Source organism: Homo sapiens, chromosome X (genome assembly GCF_000001405.40).
Source record: "Homo sapiens chromosome X, GRCh38.p14 Primary Assembly".
In the NCBI taxonomy this organism is placed as follows: Eukaryota; Metazoa; Chordata; class Mammalia; order Primates; family Hominidae; genus Homo; species Homo sapiens.
This window is the reverse complement of record NC_000023.11, coordinates 2,845,108-2,870,210: the sequence shown is the minus strand read 5'-3', so window position 1 is coordinate 2,870,210 and position 25,103 is coordinate 2,845,108. Positions and strand designations below refer to the sequence as shown.

Genomic DNA, 25,103 nt, shown 5'->3' with positions numbered 1-25,103 from the left:
AATAAATAAATAAAAAAGTAAGACATACTTCAACAAAAAGGTGTATTATGAATAAAATAAGATGCACTACAAAAAGAGTAAAAAAACTTGATAGCTTAAAAAAAAAAAAACTGAAGGACATCTGTAATCTTTTAATTAACTACATTTCCCTACCCCAAATACTAGAAGACAAAACGCTGGAGAAGATACTAATTGCAACTTTTTCCTTAATACATTAATGTATGTGGAAAAAATTAATATTCAGCTTTACTTTAAAAAACACAGATCTGGGGCAGGCACGGTGGCCCACGCCTGTAATTTCAACACTTTGGGAGGCCAAGATGAGCAGATCGCTAGAGCCCAGGAATTCAAGAGTAGCCTGGGAAACATGGTGAAACCCATCTCTACAAAAAATACAAAATATCAGCCAGGTGTGGTGGCACCTCCTGTAGTCCCAGCTACCTGGGAGGAGGTGGGAGGATCACTTGAGTCCAGGAGGTCAAGGCTGCAGTGAGCCGAGATTGTGCCACTGCACTCCAGCCTGGGCAACAGAGCGAGACCCTGTCTCAAAAACAACAACAACAACAAAACCAAAACACGTCAACCTTGCCATCATTATATATACCAAAGTAGCTACTGGACTAAAGAGCCCCAGACGCACACTCAGCTTTTATGACATTATTGCGATTTATGAAAATAAACTTTTTTTAAAAATCTGTGTTTCAGCTCCCCTAAATAAAAAACCCAGAGTAACTCACTAAATGGACAGCAGGTGACAGTGATGTTGCACGACTCATTTCAAAGACCACCGGGAGTACGAATTAATGAAATGGAATTTCTCCTGATATCCATGGAGGATTGGTTCCAGGACCTCCTGGTTATACCAAAATCCACGGATGCTCAAGTCTCTGATACAAGATGGAACTGTCTTTGCATATAAGCAATGCACATCCTCCCATAGACTTTAAATCATCTCTAGGTTAATTACCATACCTATTACAATGCACATGCTATGTTGATACCTGCTATGTCGTATTGTTTAGGGAATAATAACAAGAGAAAAAAGTCTGTGCATGTTGAGTGCAGATGCAATTTTGTTTCCCCAATATTTTCGATCCAAGGTTGGTTGAATCCACAGATATGGAACCCATAGATGCGGAGGGTGAGCTATATATCAGATACCGTATGGACAGCATCCCTCTTTTTTTTTTTTTTAAGATGTTCAGAAATATTTATTGATTTATCCAAAGTCACATAACTAGTATACAAAACAGCTCAAATTTTCAACTCCTTGTTCAGTGTTATCAAATATTATCTTGGAAAATGTGACCGTAATATAATAATCTCCAATCAATCAACATACCTTTTGTTAAAAAGAGTTTTGTTTTGTTTTGCTTTTACTTTAAATTCTGGGATACGTGTGCAGGATGTGCAGGTTTGTTACACGGGTATACGTGTGCCATGGTGGTTCGCTGCACCTATCAACCCGTCACCTAGCTTTTAAGCCCCGCATGCATTAGCTATTTGTCCTGATGCTCTCCCTCCCCTCGCCCCCCAATCCCTTCCTTTTAAAAGCCTGAAGACTTCATTGCTTTTAGAAAAATACCCTCATCAGAGAATATATAGACCATAACAAATTTTTTTAGGTCAATTTCCCCGACGCAGTATTCACCGACCTTAGGATGGAGAGGTGGGGAGAATAGGGGGTGAGATCGAAGGATGAAATTATGTGGACACAGGAACTCCAAAATACCTTTTTTTTTTTTTTTTTTTTTGAGACGGAGTCTCACTCTGTTGCCCAGGCTGGAATGCACTGGCACGATCTCAGCTCACTGCAACCTCCACCTCCCGGGTTCAAGCGATTTCCGGCTAATTTTTGTATTTCTAGCAGAGACAGGGTTTCACCGTGTTGGCCAGGCTGGTCTCAAACTCCTGAGCTCAAGTGAACTGCCTGCCTCAGCCTACCAACATGCTAGGATTACAGGTGTGAGCCACCGTGCCCGGCCCAAAATACCTTTTTGGTTAGAATTCTTTTTATTCTGTCAGGGTTTTTCGTATCTGTGTTGCAGTCAGCCAACATAACGCTCCCCAGTTATTTAAGTTTATGCTTATATTTCTATTTCTTTTTCTTTTTTTGGGACTGAGTTTTGCTCTGTCACCCAGGCTGGAGTGCAGTGGTGTGATCTCAGCTCACTGCAACCTCCGCCTCCCAGGTTCAAGCCATTTTCCTGCTTCGGCCTCCCGAGTAGCTGGGATTACAGGCGCACGCCACCAAGCCTGGCTAACTTTTGTATTTTTAGTAGAGACAGGGTTTCACCGTGTTGGCCAGGCTGGTCTTGAACTCCTGAGCTCAAGTGATCTGCCAACACTTGGCCTCCCAAAGTGTTGGGATTACAGACGTGAGCCACTGCACCTGGTCTAAATGCATTTTTGACTTAAGATATTTCAGTTTACGATGGGTTTGTTGGGATGTAAACCAATTGTAAATCGAAGAGCATCTGTATTTAAACAGCTTTGATTTCACCTCCATCCCTTCCTCCCATTCCTGAATCTCTCTATTCGAATTTCTCTTCCTTTCTGCTAAATATTTAAGCATGTCTCGCAGTCGTCTACACAGTGGGTCTCCAATGCCTGGGTGTCCCCTCCTTTCCCTAGGACCTATGCAGGCGTCCCCCCTCCGGCTGTAACTAAACATTTCAGCGTCCAAGTCTGAGGCCAGCATGACCTCTCCCTGCCTCCCCTTCACGCTGTGCCTGGGGCCGCTTGCAGGGCTGACAGATCCCTTCTTCACTTTATCACTTTCCTTCAGATCAAATTCCATCTGAGCTGGATCTGTCTGTTTTCCCCTCCCTTGCCGCCCCCTCTGTGATGTACAGTTTATTCATGTAAGGGCCTGCAGTTGGGCACTGCACTATCATCTTCCATTGATGTTTTGAAGCCTAAGCGTGGGCATGACAGTGGGGTGGAGGGAGGGGTGAGGCTGGGCAGAGTCCCTGAGATGGGAGATACAGGTTCTGCAATCACTTTTGAGAACTGCTTAAATACCCTAAACAAAGTACGCTCAGCCCAGCTGGGGGTCATTTCCCCTCATCTTACCCTTGGCCTTGAGCTCATGCTCAGACAGACAGCAGAAGGGCCACCTACTGTCCCCAGCACTACCCAGACAGGGACAGCTTCTACCTGCAAGGGTGATCTTCATCTCCTCCTGGGTCTTGTTCTGGGCCCTGGAAACCGGCGATTCTCCAATTCTTGAGATTTTTTTCCCACCCTCCTCCTTTCTGCAATATTGCCCCTTGAGGATGGGGTGGGGATTTGGAGCCAGCAATCTCTTGCTGTGGATGAAACCAGCTGATGACCTTCTCGTGGCTGCTGGCTGTTGAACATACTTTTTTTTAAAAAAAAAAAATTTACTTTTTAAAAATTGACACATAATAATTGTACATATTCATGGGGTACACAGGGATGGTTCAATACCTACAATATTCAGTGATCCGGTCAGGGTAATTAGCATATCCCTCATGTCAAATATGTACCATTTCTTTCTTTTGGGAACATACAATATCCTCCGTCCAGCTATTTGAAACTATAGATTACTGTTGGCTATAGTCATCCTACAGGGCTATAGAACATGACAACATATTCCTCTTGTCTAGCTGTAATTTTGTATCCTTTAACAAATCTCTCCCTATCTTCTCCTTCCCCCACCTTTCCTAGTCTCTAGTACACTCTCTTCTACTGAGACAGGGTCTTGTTCTGCTGCCCAGGCTGGAGTGCAGCAGCGTGATCTCGGCTCACCGCAGCCTCGACCTCCCAGGTTCAAGCGATCCTCCCACCTCAGCCTTGCGAGTAGCTGGGACCACCGGCAAGTACCGCACACCCAGCTAATTTTTGTATTTTTTTGCAGAGACAGGGTTTTGCTATGTTGCTCAGGCTGGTCTCAAACTCCTGATCTCAAGCAATCATCCTGCCTCAGCCTCCCAAAGTGCAGGGATTACAGGAGTGAGCCACTGTGCCTGGCCTTACTTTTCACTTCTGTGAGGTTAAATTTCTTTAGCTCCCACAGATGAGTGAGAACATGTGGTGTTTAACTTTCTGTTTCTGGCTTATTTCACCTACCATAATGTCCTCTATTTCCATCCATGTTGCTGCAAATGATGGATTTCCTTCTTTTTTATGGTTGAATAGTATTCCATGGTATATCTATACATGGCATTTTCTTTACCCATTCATCCTTTGGCAAACACTTGGGTTGAATCTGTATCTTGCCTGTTGTGAATAAACTGCAAAAACATGGACGGGGGGCAGATGTCCCTTCAATATACTAATTTCCTCTCCTTCGGATAAATGCCCAGTGGTGATGGCTGGATCATGTGGTAGTTCTATTTGTAGTTTTTTGAGGAACCTTCATACTCTTCTCCATCCTGGCTGTGCTTATTTTTAATCCCCATCAACAGTGGAAAAGAGTTCCCCTTTCTCCACATCTTCACCAGCAGTGGATATTTTTTGTCTTTTTGATAATAGACACCACCTAACTGGGGTGAAATGAGCGTGCTTTTGTGTCCTTGCTTACCTCCTTGGGCATCAAGGCAGGATGATCCTCAATTCTGTCATCACGATTCTCTCCATGAGCTTTCCTCAGAAGCCCCAATCCCTCCACGGGAAAGTCTCTCCTAGGTTTGGCTTGACTGGCTCTGATTGAAAGGTGGCTCACGGACGGACAAACACGAAGCTACATATCTATTGTTTAAGTTGCCACCTCATCGACAATTATGAATCCAAAGTAAAAGTAGAAGTGACTTATGTCAAGAAAAATCCACGGCAACAATTCCATCGAGATTAATATGAATTGAACATGACGGGCGCTGTTTTAGAGAAACCAGAGTGCTAAGTGCTGTCACTCTGGAAATGGTTCTGTTTTTGCAGAGATTGGTGTGGCTACAACTTGGGCTGGAGCTGGGACTGGAGCGTCCTGACTGTTTTCCCTTTTGGAGTCTCTGGAAAACCACTGTTTGCCCTGGGAAGCTTGTTTTCAGGGGCTGTGACAATCCGTGGAAATCCCTCCAGGGGCTGAAGGGTGGAGAATACACACTTGCTTCTGAAAGAGGGTGGCTGCCCTTACGAATGAGGGAGTGCTCACTGTGGTTCAGAATAAACTGTTAAGAATGTTTTTAATAGCCAGGCATGGTGGCTCACACTTGTAATCCCAGAACTTTGGGAGGCTGAGGCAGGTGGATCACTTGAAGCCAGGAGTTCAAGAACAGCCTGGCCAACATGGTGAAACCCGGTCTTTACTAAAAATACAAAAATTAGCCAGGTGTGGTGGCTCATGCCTGTCCACCTACTCAGGAGGCTGAGGCAGGAGAATTGCTTGGACTCGGGCGGTGGAGGTTGCAGTGAGCTGCTGAGATCGCGCCATTGCACTTCAGCCTGGGCGATCGAGTGAGACTCCATCTCAAAAAAAAAAAAAGAAAGAAAAAGAAGAATGCTTCTAAGATCATCTGCAAAAACACAATCCTTTAAAATGATCCTTATTCAGAGAGACCTCAGGCCATAGTTTGCAAAACCACTAATGTACAAGATTCAGTGACGGAATAAGATTAAAATTACGCAACCGGAAATCAGAAAGATGGTTTGAAAACCGTTTTCTGAGGACTCAATAGAGTCTTGTGAAGAAAGTAAATCTTGGAACCCCAATATCAGTAAGCAGGGAAAAGTCCAGCTGGGAGCGGAGCTGCTTAGGGCCTCTGCCTCCCATTCTATTCAGTCCCCCCTCTGCTCACTGAGATAAATGCATATCTGATTGCCTCCTTTGGAAAGACCAATCAGAAACTAAAAAAAAAAAAAAATGCAACCATTTGCCTCTATCTACTTATGACCTGGAAGCCCCCGCCCCACTTTGAGTTGTCCCGCCTTGCCGGACTGAACCAATGTACTTCTTACGCATATTGATACCTCATCCTCTCTAAATTGTATAAAAGCAAGCTGTGCCCCGACCACCGTGGGCACATGTCGTCAGGACCTCCTGAGGCTGTGTCACGGGTGTGTCCTTAACCTTGGCAAAATACACTTCCTAAATTTATGTTTTCGAAGCATTCGATAATATTTCTTTTTTAGGCTAGGAGTTTGAGCATTCAATTATTTTCAATACACATCAACAGGGGATGGGAGTTCCCCTTTATTGGCCTTAAGGTGCTGTAATGCACATAAAAGCATGAGCCTTGAATGCCACAGCATTCTTGGATACTCTTTGGTTTACAGTCTAAACTTGGTTGCCTACTAAACATTTAATGTAAATGCGATTTTTCCTTAGACATCCTGAAACGAGCATGGCTCAGCACAATTGCAGCCGTTTTGCACATCATGTAAGGGCTCCACTGATGGAATTCTTCACATTCCAGCAGGAACAAGCAGAGGCTCTTGACTTGACTCGCATGAGGCACGTCCTGGGGCCAGGCCCAGGCTATGGTATGCTCAGGGCACACCATGAGGAATGAAAAACCAGAAAAGCGCATTTTACACCTCCTCAGTCTTCACCATCTGAACCTAAACATCTTTTCAATGTGTTTGGGTCAATGTGAAATCACCACTCCGACATTCTTCATGCATAAAGTTGCCAGAGCATAATTTACGCCAGAGTACAGTGAAGCGTGTGGTGTCTTCCAGAGCAATGTGTGCAAAATCTAAAGGTCACTTGTTTATAAGCAACAAGAAACGGCTCTCCCGGAGCTATCTGAAGTATACAGAAAAGAATCACTTTCCTTCAGCCCAGTCCCCAGATCCTTCCCTAAGTATGATCTCAAAATAATTCTGTTGAGAAACTTGTTAGGATCAGTGGTAAAGATTTAAAACAAGAAATCTTGCCGGGCGTGGTGGTTCACGCCTGTAATCCCAGCACTTTGGGAGGCCGAAGCAGGCGGATCACAAGGTCAGGAGTTCGAGACCATCCTGGCTGACACAGTGAAACCCCGTCTCTACTAAAAATACAAAAAATTAGCCGGGCGCGGTGGCGGGCACCTGCAGTCCCAGCTACTCGGGAGGCTGAGGCAGGAGAACGGCGTGAACCCGGGAGGCAGAGCTTGCAGTGAGCCAAGATTGGGCTACTGCATTCCAGCCTGGGTGACAGAGAGAGACTCCGCCTCAAAAAAAAAAAAGATTTCTTTTTTTTTTTCTTTGAGACAGTGTCTCGCTCTGTCACCCAGGCGGGAGTGCAGTGGTGAGATTATAGCTCACTACAGCCTTGACCTCCAAGGCTCAAGCATTCCTCCTGCCTCAGCCTCCCAAGTAGCTGGGACTACAGGTGCACACATCCATGCCTGGCTAATTTCTTGACTTTTTTTTGTAGAGATGAGGTCTCAGTGTGTTGCCGGCTGGTCTCGTACTCCTGGGCTCAAGCAATCCTCCCACCTCAGCCTTCCAAAGTGTTAGGATTACAGGTGTTGAGTCACCGTGCCTGGCCCCAGGAAATCTTTAAACACAAGATATTATTCCAAAGTATTCACCTAGAAATTGGAGCTGGAGAAATGACGGCCTCCATTATTTGTTTTGCAAGTAAGGTGTATTTTCATTTTTCTTCGATGGGGACAAAGTGCTGCAGACTCGGCCTCAGCAGACACCACTGTGCAGGTCAACATTCATTTGAACATTGAACCCCGGCAGGAATTCATCTTCACTTCAACCACTGTTCAAGTCAGGGGTTCGGCTGAAACCTCTCAGGATGCACGGCCAGGCAGTTGGGTTGAGGGGGCACTGACGGAAGCCTCCCTTTTTGAACCTGAAAGAGCTCTGGCTCCCCCAGAATCTGTAAACTGCGAGAGACTGAGCATCTGTCTCCTTGTGGCATCAGATTTTTGAGGCTGCTATGTAAGAAACAGCCACAAACTGGGTGGTTTACACCAAGGCAGACTGACCATCTGATAGTTCTGGGGGCCAGAAGTCCAGTGGATTAAAATCAAGTTGTCGGCAGGGTTGGTTCCTTCTTGGGGACCTAGGGGAGAATCCATTTCCTGCCTTCTCCAGCTTCTGGAGGCCACCATATTCCCTCGCTCGTGGCCTCCTCTTCCATCTTCAAAGCCAGCAGCCCAGCGTCTTCCAATCCCCTCTCTCTCTGGCCTCTGCTTCCAGCTTCACACTCCTTCTCTGACCTTCACACTTCCACCTTCTTCTTTGAAGGGAGGTTTGTGATGACTAAGAGCCCACTCCCAGAATCCAAGACCATACCTCCCCAGCTCAGGGTCCCTCATTTAATCACAACTGCAAACGCCCTTTTGCCACACAAGGTGACATTCACAGGTCCTAGGGATTGGGGCATAGACATCTTTCAGCAGGTGAGCTTGATTCGGTGTGCCGTAATGCAAAAATAAATGCAGAGCCTTGAATGCCACAGCAAGCCAAAGACCAGCCCTTCCCCTCCATCTCCCCTCCCCAGGGAGCCAGGGAAGCCGGCTCTCTCTGCTCTCTCACTGCGAGCCAGCGTCTGACTATCACACCTGTGAGGAATGCAGGTACTTACATCTTCTGAACGGCGTCCTTCAGGTAGGGACAGGGTCTCATCCACTATCTGGGTCGGCTCCGGAAGGCCCTGAGCAGGCTGGTTAGAACCCAGTGGTGAATTTGCACACGGCACGCCCGCACTGGGTGTTGAATTTTCACACGGCTCTCCAACACCAGAGGCTGAATCCGCACACGGCCCCCCCACATCACTGTGGCAAAGCTGCACAAAAACACACACGTGGAGTGAGTCTTCCCTATGTCTCCTCAATTCACCTGCTGTCCTGGGGGGCGGGTGGGGCCCTGTGTAGCCAGGGCTCCCAGCTCCCATCTGCCAATCATTAAATAATTGTCCTAAATGTTTTCTTTCTCAGGACCGTTTGACACTAAGCCTTAAAATTCCCTCCTATGCAATCCAGTACTTAGTAATCCAGTACTTAGTAATCCAGTACTTAATAATCCAGTACTTAGCAAAACGCCCAGCAGGAAATATGTGACAAGTCAATGTTTGTGAAGTGAATACAAATAAACGTCCATTGCTAGTGTCACTCGGTGAGAGAAATTTTCAGCAGTCCTTAAAAAGCAGCCTAGATCCACCCAAATAAAAAACCATACTAAAAATTAAAATAGGGATTCTTTTCAATTTCCCAGGCAATGCATGTGCTGATAGCAGACTCTGTTGTACTAGCAAATGCTCTAGTTAAAAAAAAAAAAAGGCCGGGCTTGGTGGCTCACGCCTGTAATCCCAGCACTTTGGGAGGCTGAGGCGGGTGGATGACTTGAGGTCAGAGCTTCAAGACCAGCCTGGCCAACGTGGCAAAACCCCGTCTCCACTAAAAGCACAAAAATTAGCTGGGCGTGGTGGTAGGCACCTGTAATCCCAGCTCCTTGGGAGGCTGAGGCAGGAGAATTGCTTGAACCCAGAAGGCGGAGGTTGCAGTGAGCCGAGATCATGTCACTGCACTCCAGCCTGGGTAACAGAGTGAGACTCTGTCTCAAAAAACAAACAAACAAACAAAACTCTAGTTTTCTTTACTCTAGTTAAAAAATACTCTGGTACTCTAGTACAAATGCTCTAGTTAAAAAAAAAAAAAAAAAAAAGCTCAAGTTTTTTTTTACTTTAGTGAAAAAAGCCATTAGGAATAAGAAGTTTCCTGAGTCCTAATTGCAAGAGGTCTTCTGCAAGGCAGATGCAGCCTACATTCAGCACACTGCAGATACTCCACCATTTAGCACACCGAGGGGCTGTCATTATATTCTTTGCAATCAAATTGGTGTCAATCAAAACTTTACAAAATCCTCTTCAGACACTTCCTCCAACTGCTATCTCAAATGATGGTTTCAAGTGGAAAGTGTTGACCCGAATGACGTCGTAATCAGTCATTGTGAACCACTTGTCCATGAGTGTCTCTTACTCTGATGAGGATGGCTAATTTCAATAACCTATTTCTGCACCAGGCCTACACATCAAAACAGGATCTCCAGTCATTAGGCATTCTCTATTTTGAGCTAAAACTTAAAAATTTTTTTAACAGGTGCTTGCTTCTCAGTATTCTTTTCCATGAAATACAGTATTTAGACAAAAAAGGGGCATTTCAAAAAAAAACCACGCCAGACCTTGGTGACAAGGATGTTCTCCTCGTCCTCAGCTACGGGTTTTAAGGGAATCCCCCACTTACTGTGTGACCAGGAGACGCGCGTGCTTCCCCCGCTTGGACGCTTTTATAAAGGGGCAGCACGTTGTTCTGGTAGACCGTCCACCAGAGATGAAGGAATGCCGCCTGGTGCTGGCTGCTGGACGCTGAGCCTTGCTCCAACACCGAGCCACTCTGTGGATTGTACTTGTAGTTCCAAGGTTTCATGGACCCCAAAAAGTGGACGACCTTTGCACTGGAACCGAATCTGAGAAGGAAACAGAAGGGATTCTGATTTCCACTCAGATGTGATAAAAGACACCCAGAAAGCATCCACCTACCATGGGGCTCCTCAAAGACAGCCTCTGAAGGACTTGTCCCAATGGGTTTCCATTATTGATTATTATTACTGATGATACTACTACTATCAGCATAGTAACCAATATATAATCAATAATAATACACTACTACTTCCAATGCAGTAATCAATATATGACCCATAATAAGATTACTACTATCAACATAGTCATCAATATATAATCAATAATAATACACTACTACTATCAATGCATGTAATCAATATATGATCAATAACAATATATTACTATCAATGTAGTAATCGTTATGTAATCAATACTATGCTACTATTATCAACATAGTACTCAATATATAATCAATAATAATCTACCACTATCAATGTAGTAATCAATATATAGTCAACAATATACTACTACTAGCATAGTAATCAATATATAACCAATAGTAACATACTACTACTATCAATTCAGTAATCAATGTGTGATCAATAATAACAAAATACTATCACTACTATAGTAATCAATATATAATCAATAATAATATACTAGTACTATCAATGCAGTAATCAATATCTGAGCAATACTAGCATACCACTACTATCAAGATAGTAATCAATATATCATCAATAATACTACTCCACTGCTATCAGCATAGTAGTAGTAGTTTCATTTGCAGTTATTTTGCATAAAGATATATTTTTTAAATCACAGTTTTTGCAGTTATTTTATTTTCTATATATCAAAAAACATAATCGTAATCCATTGACATTTTTTCCCAAAACGGGAAAAATAAATCAGTTTTGTAAAAACGTGAAGTACAGCAGCCCAAATCATCATATCCTTAAAACGACAGGGGCAAAAAAAAATAGCTTTTACAGTGGCTAATGCAAGCGGCAAGGCAATTGGCTTTTTTTCTCTTTTACAGGATTCTAAATGTTCCCCTTGCCAACTTTTTTGTTGTTCATCATCACCATCCTCCAGGAGCCTTTTTAAACTTTTTTTTCGTGGATCACCTCCTCATGAAATATGAACACAAAAGTCACATGACATATCTATGTTCTGTACATTACATCTGTGATTATACAGTAAAAAATAACAAGATTTCACTCCCAAGAATCAATTTCTCTTCCTTAGGGACACCGTGTCCTCTGTAGAGAATGCAGACTCTAGAATTATTCATTCCCAAGGTGATTCTCAGATTCTCTATTTTCATTTATAGCCATATCTTCTGGAGCAGTGAATTTCACAGCCTCTGGTCCCCTCACCCTTGACCCTTTTAGGAACCCAAAGAGCTTTGTCCGTGTGGATTCTTTCTTTTTTTTTTCTCCTGAGCTGAGGCTTGCTCTGTTACCCAGGCTGGAGTGCAGTGGCACGATCTCGGCTCACTGCAAACTCCACTTCCCAGGTTCAAGTGAGCCTCCCTCCGCAGCCTCCCGAGTAGCTGAGACTAGCGGTGTGCGACACCACATTCGGCTAATGTTTTGTTTTATTTTTTCGTAGAGACAGGGTTTCATCATGTTGCGCAGGCTGGTCTCAAACTCCTGAGCTCAAGTGATCCGCCCACCTCGGCCCCCAAAGGGCTGGAATGACAGGCGTGAGCCACTGTGCTCGGCCATGTCCCTGTGGATTCTCTCTCTCCATATTTAGAATAATCGATATTAAAACTGAGAAATTAGAAAGCATATTTATCAATCCCTTTAAAAAAAATCAAACCATTATGCAGTAACATAAATTTCATAATTTTTCATTAAAAAAATTTCTATATTAAAAAAAATCATTGTGAGAAGAGTGCCATCCATTTTCCCAAGAGGCGACAGCTGGTTCTTCCTAGCTCCATCTGTGTTCAGGGTATTACCTTATCACATGCCATGTAGTGTCTGTAAACTCTCAGCATAGATGCATGAGAAAATGGCAGCAAAAAGGGAAAAAAATCACATCTTCAAATTCTTTTTTTAAAGTAGTTATGACTTTGAAGACACTTGAAAGAGTTGTGGGGTCAGGGTTCCTTGGGCCACACTTTGGGGATCATTGTCGTAGAGCCTTGGCTAGCTATCATTTACAGCAACAAGCAAGCAGGAAACGAGATGTGTGTGTGTGTTTCTGTGTGTGTATATACATATATAAAGACGTATATAGATAGATACATCTATGTATTAATATATAGATAGATGTCTAGATCTACATAGATGGATAGATGCCTATATAGAGATCTAGATCTAGATACATAGATCTATATAGAGAGAGATCTAGATCTAGATACATAGAGAGATATATAGATCCATGTATATACATAGATATCTAGATAGATCTAGATAGATATACAGATATAGATATATAGATCTATGTATATAGATAGATATCTGGATCTAGATAGATAGATATAGATATCTATATGGATGAAGATCTAAATCTAGATGGATATCTAGATACATAGATATCTAGTTCTAGATAGATAGATATAGGTATCTATATAGTGATGTAGATCTAGATAGATAGATAGATAAGATGTTTATAGATAGATATCCAGATCTATCTGAATAGATACATATGATAGATGATAGATTAGACAGATAGACAGATATCTAGGTCTAGATAGATAGATATCTAGGTCTAGATAGATAGACATCTAGGTCTAGATAGATAGATAAATATCTACATAGATATAGAGATTAGATAGATCAATGTATATAGATATCTAGATCTAGATATAGATACATATATAGATATAGATATATAGATCTATGTATACAGATAGATATCCAGATCTAAATAGATAGATATGGATAGATAGATAGATAGATAGATAGATAGATAGATAGATAGATAGATAAACAGATGTCTAGGCCTATATAGGTAGATAACTATATAGACAGATATATATCTATATAGATAGACATAGAGATCTAGATACACAGACACATAGACATAGGTATCTATCTATACAGATAAATAGATATTTAGATCTACCTAGATAGAGGTGATAGATAGATAGATGATAGATAGATGATAGATAGATAGATAGATAGATAGATAGATAGATACATAGATAGATAGATGATAGATAGATAGATAGAGTTTTTAAATATGCCGACAGCTGGTATGTCTTCCAGGAGGGAAGGTGGATCGGTAGTGGCAGATCTGGCAGGATTCGCCAGGGTGGAGAACTTACTGCTTGAAGGCAGGGCTGTAAGTGTACATCGTGTTACTACTCAAGTTATAGATGAACGGCAGGTGCTTGTGGATGTCTGTGGTCGACCAGTTCCTGAAGAAACTATTCAGTAAGCCTTGGTCTGCCCCTACATAATGAGCAAACACAAAAGCAGGTTAGCAAAGTATGGCTTGGTTCACTCCAAGAATGCGAGATGTGCCTGAAGCTCTCAACATAAACACTTGCCTTCAGGGTTACTAATTCCATTTCTTCTGTCTGCCAGCTGCACACATTCTCTTGGTTCTCAGAAAAGACTGATAACCCAAGCCATTGATAAAAATAAGTGCATATTCCCTCCAAAATTCTCCACCAGGAGTCCCCAGAATGAATGCTAAAATTGCATATGGAGTCCAAAGCATTCCACTGGTCCCCTAATGAATTCTCCCTGGTAGTGACAATGCTTTTCCCATCATTTTTGCCAGTTTCATTAACTTCCCCTTTACCTAGAGGCAATTCTTCACTGCTCCAGTATTTTCTTTTACTTTACAAAAATTCCAGCACATTTCCTCTCTACTGACGCCCATTTCAACAAATACTCGGCTTCAGGTTGCCTCCTTTTAATTCTCCCTATATTCTACCATGGGTCAAGCAACTACACACTGTGCATGTTTTTATAAATAAAGTTTTATTGGAACACAGCCATGCTCTTTTCTTTTTCTCTGAGACAGGGTCTCACTCTGTCAACCTGACTGGAGTGCAGTGGTGCAATCATAGCTCACTGTAGGCTTGAGCTCCTGAGCTCAGCTGCTGCTCCCAACTCAGCCTCCCAGGGCTTGGGGACTACAGGTGCCAGCATCACATCCAGCTTATTTTTGTATTTTTTGTAGAGATGGGGTCTTGCCACGTTGCCTAGGCTGGTCTTGAACTCCTGGTCTCAAGCCATCTGCCCACCCCGGTCTTGAACTCCTCGCCTCAAGCAATCTGTCCGCCCTGGCCTCCCAAAGTGCTGGGATTACAGGCATGAGCCACCACGGCCAGCCCATGTTCAATGCCAAGTACAGTCATGCAACACATAAAAGTGCTTCGGTCAAAGACAGACCATACATCTGACGGTGGTCCCATAAGATTTTATACTGTATTTTCACTGGACCTTTGTGATGTTTAGGTATGTTTAGAACACAGATACCTCCCATTATGTTACAGTTGCCTACAACATTCAGTGCACTCCCATGCTATATGGGTTTGTAGCCTAGAAGGAATAGGCTGTACCCTCCAGCCTAGGTATACAGTAGGCTACATCATCCAGGTGTGTGCAGATACACTCTGGGACGTTCATACAATGACAAAATCACTTAACAACACATTTCTCAGACCGCATCCCTGTCGCTGAGCGAGGTGTGACTGTATGGTCAACGGCTGACTTCGTGTTACATCTGCAGAGTTGAGTGTGTGCAACAGAGACCCTAAGCGTCCGGGCTGCCCTGACTTACCGTCAAAGCTGCCGTGTTCCATGGCGTGCTGTAGCAGGAGTTTATGCGTGTGGAGAGAAGGCTGGAAGACAAACACCCCGCTATTGAAGCAATCCGGCCATCCGGGGTCCGGGGCCGCAGAAAACTCTCCCCTGTCAAACAGCTCATCGACATTGGACAGCACCTGGTGAAGCAAAACACGCAGAACCCGCCGCAATGCTTCTTTTACCAATGCTTCTGTTTTTGAGACAGAGTCTTGCTCTGTCGCCCAGGCTGGAGTGCAGTGCTTCAGTCTCGGCTCACTGCGGCCTCCGCCTCCCGGGTTCAAGCGATCCCCCCACCTCAGCCTCTTGAGTAGCTGGGATTACAGGCACCTGTTACCATGCCTGGCTAATTTTTGTATTTTTAGTAAAAACGGTTTCACCGTGTTGGCCAGGCTGGTCTCAAACTCCTGGCCTCAAGTGATCCACCCATCTCAAGCTCCCAAAGTGCTGAGATTACAGGCATGAGCCACTGTGCCCAGTCACAAGTTTTTTCCCTCATGATTCTATTTTGTGCGTGTAAAATACTGTGGTTATAATTCATTCCTGGGGTAGGAACATGTCTTCCAATCCCCTGTTCTCTTCAGCAGGGTCTAGCACAGTGCTCGGGGGTATGTTATGCCTGATTATAATAGACTGAACATCTGTGTTAGAAATAGAAATGCACATGGCCTCACAGGAATCTACCAGTAAGAGGTGACAGCCCGGCCAGCATGGCGAAACCCAGTCTGTACAGAAATACAAAAATTAACCGGGCATGAAGGCGGGTGCCTGTAATAGCAGCCACTCGGGAGGCTGAGGTGGGAGAATCACTTGAACTCAGGAGGCGGAGGTTGCAGTGAGCCGAGATCGTGCCATTGCACTCCAGCTTGGGTGACAGAGCGACTGTGTCACACACACACAAAAAAAAGTTGACAGCCTGCTTAAGGATAGAGATGTGGTCTTGGAGGGTTTCCTATCAAGCAGAGAGTCTTCACTCACCAGAGTGTCTGCATCCAGGAAGACACACTTGCTGTAGTGAGTGAGAGTCCAACAGTGAAGCTTGGTGAGGGTGAGCCCGAGCTCAGGTCTCTTCAGAAAGGCCAGGTGGATGTAGTCGGCACTATCGATTAGATTCACTTCAATGACTTCATCGAACACCTTCGAGAGGATGACCCTGGAACAGACATGTGCCAAATAGTGGGACAGCGGGTGAATATTCAGCACAGAACCACCTCCTCCTTCAAGAGGGTGCTGTTTTGCTGCTCACAAACGTGGAATGCAAAGAGAATCCCCACAGCCCTCACTGCGGTCTCCATGTTCAGAGCACATTTCCACGGATGGCTTAGAGCTGTGCACACCGTCCACTTGTGCCCAAAAGCCTCTGCATGCTTGAATGCAAATGCCAATGGTGTGAAACCCCACTGTACCGGTAGAATTAATATATTACTTTAGTAATGTACCTGAGCTAAATGACGGAAGCTTTAGAGGTGCATAGAAACCACCACAATTTGTATGACATTTTGAAGTGAATTAAGCATCTTTGAACATGCTTCTTTGATAGCCATTGTTATATTTTTCAATCAACACAAAGCACAATGATTACTCTAAGTTCAATATTTTCATATTCATATATTTAAAGTCATGCAAGGCCTGGCGCGGTGGCTTATGCCTGCAATCCCAGCACTTTGGGAGGCCGAGGCAGCCGGATCACTTGAGGTCAGGAGTTCAAGATCAGCCTGGCCAGCATGGTGAAACCCCTTCTCTACTAAAAATACAAAAATTAGCCAGGTGTGGTGGCGCCTGTAGTCCCAGCTACTCAGGAGGCCGAAGCAGGAGAATCGCTTGAACCCGGGAGGCGGAGATTGCACTGACCTGAGATCGCACCACTGCACTCCAACCTGGGCAACAGAGCGAGACTCTATCTCAAAACAAACAAGCAAAAAAACAAAAACAAACAAACAAAAAATTTAAATTAGCCAGGCGTGCTGGTGGGCGCCTGTAATTCCTGCTACTCAAGAGGCTGAGGCAGGAGAATCACTTGAACCCAGGAGGCAGAGGTTGCAGTGAGCCGAGATGGCACCACTGCCCTCCAGCCTGGGCGACAGAGTGGGACTCTGTCTCAAAAAACAAACAAAAAAATAAAGTCATGCAAGCTGCAACTTCCCTGTCAAAATTACTGGCTGCCAAATTTATACCTGTTTCTTCAGCTGTACCTTTTGATATTTAGAATTTTTAAATTTCTGTGAAGTAGATTTTGTAGAATGTAATGTGTTCACTGCCTTTGTGAAGCGATATATAATTGCATAATTTCTGTGTGTAAACTGAATGCTTGGGCTTTCAATCTAGTATTCATATATAGTAATAAATATTAATATTATGAAAAAGAAATGCATGCATACTTGAAAAATGTGACAAATTGAACAGAACTGTCTTAAGATGCATGCACTTGGGCCAGCTCTTAGGAAGACAGTTTCCCTCTGTAAGCTGCAGAGGCAGAGAAATGTAAATGCTGAGCTGGTAGAAACTAACAGATGTCCATAACAATCTCTATCAATTTTTACTTTCTGTATTCAAAGCTTACATTGTTAGTTGCATACAAGTTTGAGACTCGAAGCTTGAAAGACTGTCCATTTTATCAAAGTGAAATTTGCTCTGTTCCATTTATTTATTTATTTTTGCTTAAATCCCACTTCATCATAGTCTGGAACATATTGGGATGACAGAAAAATTAAGCAAGTGCTAGAAAAGGATGGGGGCATATTGAAAGAATACAGGGGGCCAGCTAGGGGAAGCACCCAATTGCCAAAGCTGAAATAATGTAATCAATAACAAAAAACAACAAGCCCAAAATATGAAATAAATATTCATGAGCCTACACTAATATAAGTTTTCTTTTTGATACAGGGTCTCACTCTGTCACCCAGGCTAGAGTTCAGTGGTGCAATCATAGCTCATTGCAGCCTCGAACTCCTGGGCTCAAGTGGTCCGCCTGCCTCAGCCTCCCAAGTAACTGGGACTACAAGTGCATGCCACCATGCCCGGCTAATTTTTTGTATTTTTTGGTAGAAATGGGGTTTCACAATGTTTATGAAGCTTGTCTCAAACTTCTGGGCTCAAGCAATCTGCCTGCCTCAGTCTCACAAAGTGCTGGGATTACAGGCATGAGCCACCACGCCTGACCTAATATAACTATTGAATAAACAAATATGTGAGAAAGAAAGGGCAGGTTTAATTTAGAAGATAATTCCAAGTAATTGAAATAGAAGGAATGAGGGAAGTAGAAAACCACGATTAGGCAAACACTATAGTAACAACTGTTGCAGACAAGACTCACTGATTTTTAGAGAAGAAACAGGCTGTTTGTATAATGTCTATGCCAAGATATTTTCCATTACTAAAAGAAAAACATAATAATTTCACAGTGGAGAATTCCAACAGACACCACTTAATCCAGGTGATGAAATTTAACATCACCAGGTCAGGACATACAGACATCATGCACTCCATAGCATGACACACTGAAAACTTACATCAATTCTGATGATTTTTTTGCCAAAAATGCATAACCTCAGTCTAATCATGAGAAAACACTGGACAAAACCAAACTGAAGGCTGGGCACAGGGGCTCATGCCTGTAATTCCAGCACCTTGGGAGGCCTAGGCAGGTGGATCACCTGACATCAGGAGTTCGAGACCAGCCTGGCCAACAAGGTGAAACCCCGTCTCTACTAAAAATACAAAAACTAGCCGGGTGCGGTGGCGGGAAACTAATCCCAGCTACTCTGGAGGCTGAGGCATGAGAATTGCTTGAACCTGGGAGGCAGAGGTTGCAATGAGCTGAGATCGTGCCACTGCACTCCGGCCTGGGCGACAGAGCGAGGCTCTGTCTCAAAACAACAACAACAACAACAAACAACTGAAGAACAATCTATAAAACAATTGACCATTACTTAGATTGGATAGTGGAACAGAATCATATCAAATGCATCCATTTATTTTCAACATTTTGTTTGTTTTTAATTAAGCTGCCTCCTACACTACTGTATGTCCGGATTTTATGTTTATTTTCCCATTCAGAAAGCCTATCTTTTTAAAAAGGAATTTTAATCTATTCATGTTTATTATGATCACGGTTATATTTGGATTGAGTCCTGCAGTTTCATTTTATATTATTTTCCCTTTTTTACATATATCAGATTTTCTATTTCTTCAGTTTTCACTCCCGTCCGTGTGAAGAGACCACCAAACAGGCTTTGTGTGAGCAACAAGGCTGTTTATTTCACCTAGGTGCAGGTGGGCTGAGTCCGAAAAGAGAGTCAGCGAAGGGAGATAGGGGTGGGGCCGTTTTATAAGATTTGGGTAGGTCAAGGAAAATTACAGTCAAAGGGGGGTTGTTCTCTGGTGGGCAGGAGTGGGGGTCGAAAGGTGCTCAGTAGGGGAGCTTTTGAGCCAGGATGAGCCAGGAGAAGGAATTTCACAAGATAATGTCATTAGTTAAGGCAGGAACAGGCCATTTTCACTTCTTTTGTGGTGGAATGTCATCAGTTAAGGCAGGAACCGGCCATCTGGATGTGTACATGCAGGTCACAGGGGATATGACGGCTTAGCTTGGGCTCAGAGGCCTGACATCAGTGTAATTCTTTCCCACCCACCTCTGATTGCATGAATCAGGTTTTCTTCAATCCACGCATTTCCCATTAAGGCTCTGAAACTTGTACACATCTTTTCTAGTTTTCTGGTGGTAACCACCTTTCAACTGTCAGCACACGTATTTAAGCTTATATTTTCTATCAAATATAGTCATTACCTATGTCTTCTTCCCAGACGAAACAAAAACATGAACATATGCTCATTCTTTCTTCTCTGCTCTTTCAATTACCTCCCATGTGAAATGTTAATTCCAGATTATTTTCGTAACTGTGCACTAACACATTCAGACTTAACTCTGTTTTATACATTTATTTATTCAGCACTGCTTCCTGTGTGCTCTCTTCTATTTATTATTATCATTATCATTATCATTATTATTATTATTTTGAGACAGGGTCTTGCTCTGTCACCCAGGCTGGAGTGCAGTGGTGTAATCATAGCTCACTGCAGCTTCAATGTCCTAGGCTCCAGTGATCCTCCCGCCTCAGCCTCCTGAGTAACTGGGACTACAGGCATGTGCCACTGCACTCAGCAATTTTTAAAAATTTTTTAGTAGAGATGAGACCCCACTATGTTGTCCAGGCTGGTCTTGAACTCCTGAACTCAAGCGATCCTCCCACTTCAGCCTCCCAAAATGCTGTGGTTACAGGCATGAGCCACTGTGCTTGGCTACTCTCGCCTTTCTTGGATTACATTCCATTTTGCAGGAGTCAATCAACTAACTTTTTCCTCAAAGATCTTTGAGGGATAACATTTTTAACGTTTGCAAATTTGAAAAGTCTTTGTTTTGCTTTCAAATTACGGTACTAAAGCTGAATACAGAACTTTCATTTCAAAGTTATCTTGCACCAGAATTTTGAGACATCAATTGTCACAACCAGATTGATACAGAAAGGCATTTAGGATTTTTCTTCATTTTTGCTGCTCTGAAATTTTACCACTTGGTGTCTACATTTGAGCTTTCTTCATCCACTCTGCTCAATATCTGGAACACTTTCAATCTAAACTTTGTCTCAGAGCTGAAATATAATAGGAGTTACTTCTTTCTTTCTTTCTTTTTCTTTCTCTCCTATTTGACAGATATTGAAGCTCTCGGACCTTTTCTATCTCTTAGCATTTCTCTTGGACTCGACATTTATTTGTAAGATTTCACTGCTCTGTATTTAAGGTAACTATTTCTCTGAAAAAGTACCCTTCCTTCAGCAAATCTCCCTCTGCTTTTGGCCCAGTTATTTATGGAATTTATGGCATCTTCACCACAGTTGCGTAAAGATCCGGGCTGGGGGGAGGGCAAGAGAAACAGCACTCCACCTCACTACAAATGGCACTGCCATTTATGTCCTTACATCTTTTTGTTCAGCTCTGCTCATTTCCCTAAAATAAACTCCTGGAAGCAGAATTATGTTTCATGAATACAATTAGTTTAAAGCAGGTTTCCCTGCAAGATCACTCCATAACACGCTTGTACCACACAGCCTGGGGGAGGGGCGATCTCCCACCACCCACACCCCTGGTCATTTACGGTCATTGCTCACTGCTCGTCTTCCACTGCCCTGACCACCGCAGAGCGCCATCCCTCAATTCTCCCCATGACTACGAAACATATAATAAAAGGTCCCACAAAACCTCAACCCGACTTGCAACACTGAACCTTCCCACGATTTCTGCCATGTTGTTTCTGAATATTTTAAAGTTCCTCTTGAGTGAACCTTAAGTCTACTTTGACACAGGCAGGAATAAGTAATAATCACATGATGGAAAATGCAGTATCCATCCCCTCAAGCATTTATCCTTTGTGTTACAAGCAACTCAATTACACTCTTTAACAGCATTTTTCTACCCCGTCGCCCCCGCCGGCTTTTAAAATAAAACACGGAACCTGCTGGATGTGCTATGTGTACCTTTCCACTCACTGGTGCATTTTTGGACCTTAATATAGTCAGGTTTTTTTTTTTTCCCTTCTTTTTTGACAGAGTCTCGCTCTGTCACCAGGCTGGAGTGCAGGTGGCGCGATCTGGGCTCACTGCAACCTCTGCCTCCCAGGTTCAAGCGATTCTCCTGCCTCAGCCTCCCGAGTAGCTGGAATTACAGGCGCCACCACGCCTGGTTAATGTTTTTTGTATTTTTAGTAAAGACGGGGTTTCACCATGTTGGTCAGGCTGGTCTCGAACTCCTGACCTCAAGTGATCCGTCCACCTCAGTCTCCCAAAGTGCTGGGATTACAGGCGTGAGGTACCACACCCAGCCAGTTGCTCGTGTTTAATACCTATTTTTGTATTTGTCTGTCTATCTTTGCTTCTGGCGTGCTAGAGACGAGCCCGTGCAAACCCCTAAAGTGTTTTCAGAGTTCTTTGTACGTGATGGACAATAAGAACCTCTCCATTATAATATTTTAAATGTGGCCCTCAGTTTGTTTTATCTTTAACACATAATATCTCTGACACACAGCAGTTCTGGTGTCCTCTTCCATCTTGTTTAATTTACACCAGCATTTCCAGCTTTCAGATGAACAAAACATCCACCTTCATCAACATGTGGAGATATTTTTAGTTGTCACAACTGCCAACTCCTGCCGGCATCTGGTGGGCGGAGCCCAGGGACGCTGCTCAACACCCTGCAGTACACAGGACACCCCACCACATGGAACCCTCCAGTCCCAGATAGCAGCAGTGCTGAGAAACTTTCATCTACTTTCTTCTAAGATTTCTCTATGTTTTAAATGTTTACCTCTATATTTATAATCTATGTGGATTTTTATTTATTTATTTATTTATTTATTTATTTATTTATTTATTTATTTTGACAGAGTCCTGCTCTGTCACCCAGGCTGGAGCACAGTGGTGCCATCTCGGCTCATTGCAACCTTAACCTCCCGAGCTCAAGTGATTCTCCTGCCTCAGCCTCACCGAGTAGCTGGGATTACAGGTGCCTGCCACCACACCCAGCTAATTTTTTTTTTTTTTTTTTTTTGTACTTTTAGTAGAGACAGGGTTCACCATGTTGGCCAGGCTGGTCTCGAACTCCTGACCTCAAGTGATCCACCTGCTTCAGCCTCCCAAAGTGTTGGGATTACAGGCATGAGCCACCGTGGCCGGCCTGGAATTCTTTTTGTTATATGTTTAGTTTTTATTTTAAAAGGATCTTATCATTGACTTTCTCTAACATATTAATGTGTTGAATGATATTAATAGGTTTTAAAATAATAACCTATCTTTGCTTTCTTAGTGTAAGCACTATTTATTTCTTTACTACAGGGCTAGAGTTGCCTTATTAACATCCTGTATTTGAGGGCTTTCTCAATCCAAATGTAAACACAATCAAACCTGTAAATCAAGTTTGGGTGTCAAGATTATAACAGTTTCTTAAAATAAGTGAACATATTCATCTTTTGCTAGGCTCTGTGACAGTTTATGCAGCAGGGAAATTAATTCATCATGAGCAATTTAACAGAACTTCCCTTAAAATTGCCCAAACCAGGGCCTTTCTACAAGATAAGCCTTTGGTAACATTTTCAGTTTTTCTCATAGTTATTGTCAAACAAAAGGTTTCTATTTCTTCTGATGACAACAACCAACATCTCACCGATTTCCCTAGAAGGATCAAGCACTTCTTCAATACTCCCAGTGTCACTACTGTAAAGGGTTCTATATACTATTTGCTTTTAAAACTGCCTCCAAATGACTTCTTTCTAATTTCAATTTTGTACATTTATGTTTTCTCGAATAAAAGATTCATTTTTATTTGTTATTTTTATTTTTAGAGAGAGGAGCTCACTCTGTTGCCCAGTCTGGAGTGCAGTGGTGTGATCATAACTCACTACAGCCTCGAACCTCTGGGCTCAAACAATCCTCCCATCTCAGCCTCCTGACTAGCTGGGACTATAGGTGCGCACCACCACACCTGGCTAACTCTTTTTATTTTTTGTAGAGATAGGGTCTTGCTATGTCACCCAGCCTGTCTTGTCAAACTCCTGGCCTCATGCAATCCTCCCACCTTGGCCTCCCTGAAGATTTGTTAACCTAATCCTTGAATTTGTTTCTTGTTCCCAATTATTAGTTTTGTCATTTTATCTTTATGAATTTTTTACTGCTGTTTGCTTTTTTAATATTATTATTTTAAAAATATTTGGGGCTGGGCACGGTGAGTCACACCTGTAATCCCAGCACTTTGGCACTTTGGGAGGCGGAGGCGGGCAGATCACTTGAGGTCAGGCGTTCGAGACCAGCCTGGGCAAAGTGGTGAAACCTTGTCTTTACTAAAAATACAAAAATTAGCCGGGCGTGATGTTGGATGCCTGTAATCCCAGCTACTTGGAAGGCTGAGGCAGGAGAATCACTGGAACCCAGGAGATGGAGGTTGCACTGAGCCAAGATCGCGCCATGGCACTCCAGCTTGGACGACAGAGTGAGACTCTGTCTCAAAAAAAAAAAAAAAAAAAAAAAAAAAAATATATATATATATATATATGTGTATATATATGTGTGTGTGTATATATATGTATATATATACATATATGTATATATTTTTTTAAATTTAAATCAGTGAAGAAATTATCCAAGTCAAATATATATATGAAATATATATATTTGAAATTATCCAGTTCAAATATGTGTGTATATATATTTTAAATTTAAATCAGTGAAATCCAGTTCAAATATATATATTTTATATGTATATACATATACATTTGAACATATATATACACATACACATGTATATATATACATACACATGCATATATATACATACACATGCATAAATAAATATACGTACACATGCATAAATATATGTACATACACATGCATAAATAAATGTATGTACATACACATGCATATATAAATGTATGTACATACACATGCGTATATAAATGTATGTAAATACACATGCGTATATAAATATATGTACATACACATGTGTATATATACACATGTGTATACACACGTGTATATAAATATACATACACACGTGTATATAAATATACATACACACGTGTATATAAATATACATACACACGTGTATATAAATATACATACACACGTGTATATAAATATACATACACACGTGTATATAAATATACATACACACGTGTATATAAATATACATACACACGTGTATATAAATATACATACACACGTGTATATAAATATACATACACACGTGTATATAAATATACATACACACGTGTATATAAATATACATACACACGTGTATATAAATATACATACACACGTGTATATAAATATACATACACACGTGTATATAAATATACATACACACGTGTATATAAATATACATACACACGTGTATATAAATATACATACACACGTGTATATAAATATACATACACACGTGTATATAAATATACATACACACGTGTATATAAATATACATACACA

General features: G+C 42.4%; 1 protein-coding gene across 17 annotated transcripts in view, besides 2 other annotated features; it reads right to left on the bottom strand.

The window, feature by feature from the left end:
• GYG2 (glycogenin 2) overlaps window positions 1–25,103 on the bottom strand; it is a 53,889-nt gene that overhangs the window by 12,608 nt on the left and 16,178 nt on the right. For all 17 annotated transcript variants that reach the window (XM_017029928.2, XM_047442608.1, XM_047442609.1 and 14 more), the window contains 5 exons: window positions 16,057–16,231; window positions 15,056–15,218; window positions 13,587–13,713; window positions 10,146–10,368; window positions 8,489–8,689 (listed from right to left, as the gene is read on the bottom strand). In XM_017029928.2, the coding sequence (XP_016885417.1) occupies window positions 8,489–8,689; window positions 10,146–10,368; window positions 13,587–13,713; window positions 15,056–15,218; window positions 16,057–16,231 (889 nt within the window). The remainder of the gene's footprint in view (window positions 1–8,488; window positions 8,690–10,145; window positions 10,369–13,586; window positions 13,714–15,055; window positions 15,219–16,056; window positions 16,232–25,103) is intronic.
• Window positions 21,378–22,004: an enhancer, noted in NCBI's record as "H3K27ac-H3K4me1 hESC enhancer chrX:2766248-2766874 (GRCh37/hg19 assembly coordinates)". NCBI's record gives its function as "activates a minimal SCP1, AML or CMV promoter by ChIP-STARR-seq in naive H9 embryonic stem cells {active_cell/tissue: H9 hESC(naive)}" and the evidence as "EXISTENCE:reporter gene assay evidence [ECO:0000049][PMID:30033119]".
• Window positions 23,402–23,504: a silencer, noted in NCBI's record as "fragment chrX:2764748-2764850 (GRCh37/hg19 assembly coordinates)". NCBI's record gives its function as "represses an EF-1alpha promoter that drives an FKBP-Casp9 reporter gene in an ReSE screen in phorbol 12-myristate 13-acetate-treated (for megakaryocytic differentiation) K562 erythroleukemia cells {active_cell/tissue: K562(+PMA)}" and the evidence as "EXISTENCE:reporter gene assay evidence [ECO:0000049][PMID:32094911]".